Here is a 7,449-nt window from a genome sequence, read left to right on the forward strand (position 1 = left end):
TGCTAATAGGTGTGGGGTTTCTTTTTGAGTTGATAAAAATGTTCGCAAATTAGATAATGGTGATGGCTGTTCAACCTTGTGAGCACACTAAGAACCATTAGATCAAAATATTAAAAGCATACTTTTATGGTATGTGAATTAAATCTCAAAAAATATATAATGGCCGGGCACAGTGGCTCATGCCTGTAATCCCAGCACTTTGAGAGGCCGAGGTGGATGGATCACTTGAGGTCAGGAGTTCGAGATCAGCCTGGCTAACATGGTGAAACCCCGTTTCTACTAAAAGTACAAAAAATTAGCCGGGCGTGGTGGCATGTGCCTGTAACCCCAGCTACTTGGGAGGCTGAGGCAGGAGAATCGCTTGAACATGGGAGGCGGAGGTTGCAGGGAGCCAAGATTGCGCCATTGTACTCAAACTTGGGAAACAAGAGCCAAGAGCAAAACTCTGTCTCAAATATATATATATATATATATATACACACATATATATATATATATATGTATATATATATATGCGCATATATATACACATATATATATGCGCATATATATACACATATATATATACACATATATATATGCGCATATATATATATATGACTATCTCAGGGCTTTGGGGAAAATAAGACAAAGAAAATCAGTGTACTAATAAATGTTTAGTTTATGACATTTATTATATAAAATGATATTATGGTTGTGAAATTTACTTACTCCATTTTTTATCCTCCTGCCTCCCTGATCTAAATGACTTACAGTGTAGATCAGTAGTTCTCAACTCTGGCTACACACTTGCACATTTTAGAACCACCAGGGGAACGTTTACAAAATACAGTTCTTGGGTTTGACCCATGGCCAATTAAATCAGAGTCTCTGGTTCTCTTCCCCACCCCAACACTGCCAATTTCTTTTATTAAAACTTCCCAAGCGATTACCATGTGCTGCCAAGACTGAGAGAATTATAGGGTAGACCAAGACCTGGGCAACACTGAGTCAGATTATGTGGGGATCCTTCAGCAAGTCTTTTCATTTTTCTCTTCTTAAGTCAGGTTTATTGAGATATAATATATATATATATTAAAATTTATACTTGTAAAATGTACAGTTCAATGAGTTTTGGCAAAGTATTTGACAACCACCACCATCAAGATATACAACATTTCCAGTACTCCCCTAAATTACTTTGTGTCCCTCTGCAACCAATCCCTTCCCCCGTATATTTGATGTACATACTAGAATGCTGTGCAACATTAAAAAGCATGTCTTTTTAAATAAATGTAAGAAAATGGAGAAAAAAGTTACTATATAAGGAGCAAACAGAAAAAATTCCCTATATAATATAATCTTAATTGTTTAATCTTGTTTTTATGTATATGCACAGATATTATATGTCTCTCTACATATGAAAACATTCGTAGAAAAAAATTACTGGTTATTTCTGGTTGTGAAAATTACAGAAAATGTTAATTTTCTTTTTTATATTTTTATACATTTTCTAGTTAGTCTACAATAATAAGTTACTTTTGTCATGAAAATAATGATATTTACAAAATAGCAACCTATGGTCAAGTAATGCATCAAGAGCCTTCTAAGGATCGAACTGTCAGCCCCTAGGTTCTGGGTCCCTAGCTGCAAATGCAGATTTCTAATTTCACACACCAGGTCATTGGCTCATAGCAACTGCTATTGCTAAAAGAGGTTAATGAGAAGATACTGACTTCTACTGAGATGGATATCAAAACATATTGACTCAAGAGAAGGAAATATTGATGGGAAAAGAATCAAGGTCTTTCATTGCCTTGAAGGGAGTAATAAACCTTCTTAGCTGAATCCCACATTCTCTTCTCTGTTTTTATAGGCACACACATCTAATGTCAAAGATGGTGCATCTCTGTAAGCACTATTAGAGACTTGAACTCAGTAACTATTACAAGGGATGAATAAGAAGAAAATGGGTACAGAATAAATATAATTTATGGAGCGTGACAGCGTGCGCGCGCGCGCACACACACACACACACACACACACACACACACACACACACACAGAGAGAGAGAGCGCCAACACAAGATATTGACCCTAGAGGTCTGTTCAGCTTTGGTTTCAGTTCTTTTAGATTCAGCAGAATCCTAATTAAAGATATGAAGACATATCTTCCAGCCAGCTCAAACAGATCAAAACCAGCTGAGAGCAGCTCTAGGTCTCCAAACTAGACAACTGATTCAGGCTCCCTTAGAGCCAGCACATTGGCCTACTGGGTTTTGGGAGATTTCTTAGGATGAATACAATTAGAGACGACCACAGATGACTGACGTTGGAATGCTTTCTCCTACATTTTTCTCAAATAAAATAAGACATAATAACATGTTGGTTGAACCATCATTTGAATCAGTGACTTTTTTCCGGGTTGTTCTGGAATGGGTTATACTATTTGGACAAAATGAGTTGAAATTAGTTTCATATTAAACTATTCCCCTAGTTTGAATATAGGCTCTTGTATCATTTTTCCATTTACATGTTACTAAGAAAAAAAAAACTGAATCCCTTAGAATGCTAGCAGCTCTAAGAAACAAACTCCTGATTCAAGAAAGTTCTGAAGTAGGAAAACTTGAGAGGTGGTTAATTCAGCAGGATAGCAACATCATAAAAACACAGGATTTCTTCCATTTTCTGTTCCGACATCCTTGGTGTGTTTTCTTTGTCTTTGGCTAGCACCCCTTATGGTTGGTTGTAAGGTGTCTGCCACAGTTCTAGGTGTTCTTTGTAGATGTGACAATATCCAATTCTTTTGAATTTGTTTTGTTTTGTTTTGTTTTGAGACAGGGTCTCACTCTGTTGCCCAGGCTGGAGTCCAAGGGCATGATCACAGCACCCTGCAGCCTTGACCTCCTGAACTCAGGTGATCTTCCTACTTCAGCCTTGAGAGTAGCTGCGACTACAGGTTCACACCACTATGCCCAGCTAATTTTTGTGTATGTGTTTTGTGTTTGTTGCTGTGGGTTTTTTTTTTTCATTGTTGTTTTTTTTTTTTTTAAGACAGGGCCTCGTCATGTTGCCCAGGCTGGTCTCAAAATCATGGGCTCAAGCAATCTGCCTGCCTTGGCCTCCCAAAGTGCTGGGATGGTAGGTGTGAGCCACCACACCTGGTCTTTTTTTTTTTTTTTTTTTTTTTTTGAGTGAAGGAACCTTTCCTTGAATCTCCATCTGTGTCCTCTCCTTTATGTCTCACCCACCCTCAAATTCACTGCATGTTCTTGCCTAAATTAGTCACTGGCAAGGGTGATGAAATTACCCTGGTTGGCTTAGATCAGTCAGAGCCCTTCCCTGAGCCCAACCAAGATCAGGAGGTGGTGAGTAGACATCAAAATAAAATTAGGGTTCTTGGTGAAGAAGAAGGGCAAGGCTCTCAGGGAGGCAGGCAAAATAGGGCCTGCTACCACGGTGTAGGCCTCATATGTTTGGGGAATTTGCCTTGTTCTTGGGCATCTTAAGGCATAAATCTGTCATGATGGAATTTCAGATAGCTTATTATTTACTTTACAATACCATAGGTAGTGAAGGCAATAAAAGAAAACAGTCCTCATTCTCCATGAGCTCATACTGAAGTTAAGGAGCCTCTTCGTGGACACAACTAACAGCTAGCCACTACTGAAAGTCTCTAAATGAAGAATTCTGAGAAGAAATCCTATAGCTCAGGTGTCAGCCAAGATCAGCTTTCTTAGGGAGTTAAATAAAATTGGCTCCAATCTCGATCCTACATCTTGTGAGAAATCTGAGATCTCCCCATTCCCACATCCATGACCAACTCCTCTGGATTCTGTCCTGGGCAGTGTGAAGGGCTTACATCCCAGGGGTCATGCCTGGACCCGAATTTCTGCTTCCTCTGAAGTCTGTTGCACTATGCCTCACATCTTACAGACATTTCCTTGTGCAGTGCTGACCCAGATGTGTGATGTAGCTCCTGTCTTTTGGTTTATCTTTCCCCATCACATGAGTTAAAAAAAAGCATTTGTGTGGGTGGAAGACTTAACTTAAGGTTTGGGACCAGGAAGAGGGATTTATAGAAAACAAAGCAAACAAGCCAGGGTTGGTGGCTCACACCTATAATCCCGACACTTTGAGAGGCCAAGGAGGGTGAATCACTTGAGGCCAGGAGTTTGAGACCAGCCTGGCCAACATGGTGAAACCCATCTCTACTAAATGTACAAAAATTTGTCAGGCGTGGTGGTGGGCACTTGTGGTCCCAGCTACTTGGAAGGCTGAGGCAGGAGTATCACTTGAACCTGGGAGGCAGAAGTTGCAGTGAGCCAAGATTGTGTCACTGCACTCCAGCCTAGGCCACAAAGTGAGACTGTCTCAAAAAAAAAAAAAAAAAAAAGGCAAAGCAAACAATGTAATATAGAGTAGACATTCTTGCTCTTAAAAGTGATTTTCCTATTTCACCTGCCCCACTCCTCCCCAGGCCTTAGCCTCATGACCTTCATAATCTTAACAATCTTTTCTGTTTTCCTACTGCCAGTTCCTATTTATTTCATGCAGAGCAGTTTTGCATTTTTTTTTTTTTGGTTTGTTTGTTTCTTTGTTTCATTGCAAACTTGTCCTAAGGATCCTAAGTATTTTCCTGAACAAAGAGAGTTATCTCTCTAAGAAAAACTCTGAAGCCAGGTGTTAAAAAAACATTTCACATTGATTCAGGCTATTATAGTAGGGAAATCTGAGCAGATCTCTTGGATGTGGAGATGGGATTGACTTCAAGAAGTGGGGGCTGCATCACCAGTGTCTGGAGACAAGGAGGAGCATCATGTTTACCAGGGACTGAGAGGAGGCTGAGTTGGTTGAAACTGATGGTTTGGGCCGGGTGTGGTGGCTCACGCCTGTACTCCTAGCACTTTGGAAGGCTGAGGCAGGTGGATCACCTGAGGTCAGGAGTTTGAGGCCAGCCTGGGCAACGTGAGGAAACCCTGCCTCTACTAAAAAAATAAAAATTAGCCGGCCGTGGTGGTGGGTGCCTGTAATCCCAGCTACTCGGGAGGCTGAGACAGGAGAATCACTTGAACCCCGGAGTTGGAGGTTGCAGTGAGCCGAGATCTCACCACTGCACTCCAGCCTGGGCAACAGAGTGAGACTCTGTCTCAAAAAATAAGTAAAAAATAAAAAAAACCTGATGGTTTGTATTTATAAATAGCAGGGGAATAATTTGGATATGGAGGTGCATAGGAAGGGGCATGATGGGGCATTACAGAGAACTTTAGAAGCGTAATCCTGTAAGTAATGAGAGTTTCTGGAGGATTTGGGGCAGGGAAAAGATATGATTAGATTTTAGAATTCAGGGAGAACACTATACCGGTAGTGATTGGGTAGGCTCTGTGGCAGACTTCAAGCTGCCCATCAACCCCTATTCTTTCTTCCTTTCTTTACTCACAGAGCTCCTGAGGTTTAGTTGAACACAACCACTGTGCCAGCCTCTCCGGCAGCTGTATGTGCACATTGGCTAAATTCTGGCCAATGGGATGCAGAAGAAGTGATGTGTTCCTTTTCTAGCGTTATCCAAAATGTGCATCATTCTCCAATAGAAAGAAATAAAGATATTTGGAGAAATGGCTGCTTCTAAAGGACTGGGTAGGAGAAGTGCAAGATCAGTCTGGAATATCTTGCTGTGCCAAAAGTAAGGAAACACTCAAAGAATGATGGAAGTGTGTTAAAAGCACACAGTAACCAGCCTGAAGGGTTCACCCTGGCCAAATCTGGGGCAATTTGAGCAACAAAATAATGATAGTACAGGAATATAACCCATAGAATGAAAAAAAGAATATGAGTCACTTTGAATATAAGGTGATTAATAAAATAAAGGTGGGGGAAGAAAAATTACTTTTTATAATAGAATTCTATCTAGTAAACATAAAAAGAAAGATGAAATTAGGAAAATCGCCATTTGGCAGCCAGCATAGTAGTAATTGTTCCAGGCAAGAATCAACAATGGGTGTTAAAACTAGTGAGTGAAAATATAAAAAGAAGCAGAATATTTACATGGTTTAAAAACATCATCCCACAATATACCTGTTAAATAAAAAAGGGCAAATATTTACTGTGGAGAAACCTGGCAGATATCACCCTAACCAAGTGGTCCAAGGTAACATCACCAACACTGGGACAGACTGCCATCAAGTGTCTCCTGATGTGATGGACCAAAGACACGCCGCTTCTGCCGCTGCCTGCCAAAAACGTATGGCCTAAATCTAGGCATGAAAAAATACCACACAAATGCAAACTGAGGACATTCTTTAAAATAACTGACGTTTTCTCTTCAAAAATGTTAAGGTCATGAAAGATAAAGATTGAAGAACTATTCCAACTTAAGGAAATTTTAAAGACAGGACAACTAAATGCAATTAATTATCCTGAATTGAATCCTGGGTCTGTAAATTATTTTTCTTTTGCTATAAAAGACATTAGAGAAACAATCAATGGAATTTGAATATCGTCTGTAAATTAGACAATAGTATTATGTCAATGTCAATTTCTGATTTTGATCATTGTATTGAGGTTATGAGAGAGTATGCCCTTGTTGTTGGGAAACACCCTATACTAAAGTTTTTAGACATAAATGGGTAAAGAGATAAATCATGTCTTTAATTTGCTCTCAAATGTTTTCAGGGAAAACTATTAAGAGAGAATGAATGATTGGCAAATATGACAAAATGTTAACACTTGGAGAATATGAGTGAAGGGTATACAGGGATTCTTTTAATATTTTTGCAATTTTTCTGCAAGTCTGAAATAATTATAAAATAAAAAGTTTTTGTTTTTGTGTTTGTAAGGAATGAGCACGCACTTCCATCTGCCCTCATCCCTTTACCCTTCCTGTTGGCTGGGAGATGATGACCCTAGAGAGTGGTGGGTGTGTGCTGTGGATGGTGGCACTGCCCTACCAGCCCTGGGCCACTGTCTTCTACTGTTTGGGGAGAAATCATCTATGTTGTTAAGTCACTGCATTGGAGGGTCTCTTTGCTACAGCTCCATGTCCTGCAACTAACTAATACCAGCTGTAATAAGGAGAGATTGGAGGAAGGTGGCTTCTTAGGAGCCTGGTGCACTGGTTTAGTTATTCCTATTGAGGGCATGGAAAATGGGGTCACGGAGAGAGTTGGTGAAGACCACTCATTTGGGGAGAGTTAGTGAAAGGAAATTAAGAATAGGAGAGCAACTTGAGGGCGCAATAGAGTCTTAGGATCCTCTGGGAGAGATTTTCCCTTTTAAGAAGCAGAGAAAATAGTCCAAGGGAGAAAAGAGATGTTTGGGAGTTGGGAAATTTTCTGGTGACCCTGGTTCCTACTGCACTGGTCACCTCTGTATATGGCTGGCCCAGATTCCAGGGCCAGATAGCAGGATTATTTGTGGTTGTAAGTGAAGGGCAGAGAACTATGAACCTACCTGGACTGAGGTGGAGAGGAT

The sequence above is a fragment of the Homo sapiens genome, chromosome 1 (assembly GCF_000001405.40).
Source record: "Homo sapiens chromosome 1, GRCh38.p14 Primary Assembly".
Lineage (NCBI taxonomy): Eukaryota > Metazoa > Chordata > Mammalia > Primates > Hominidae > Homo > Homo sapiens.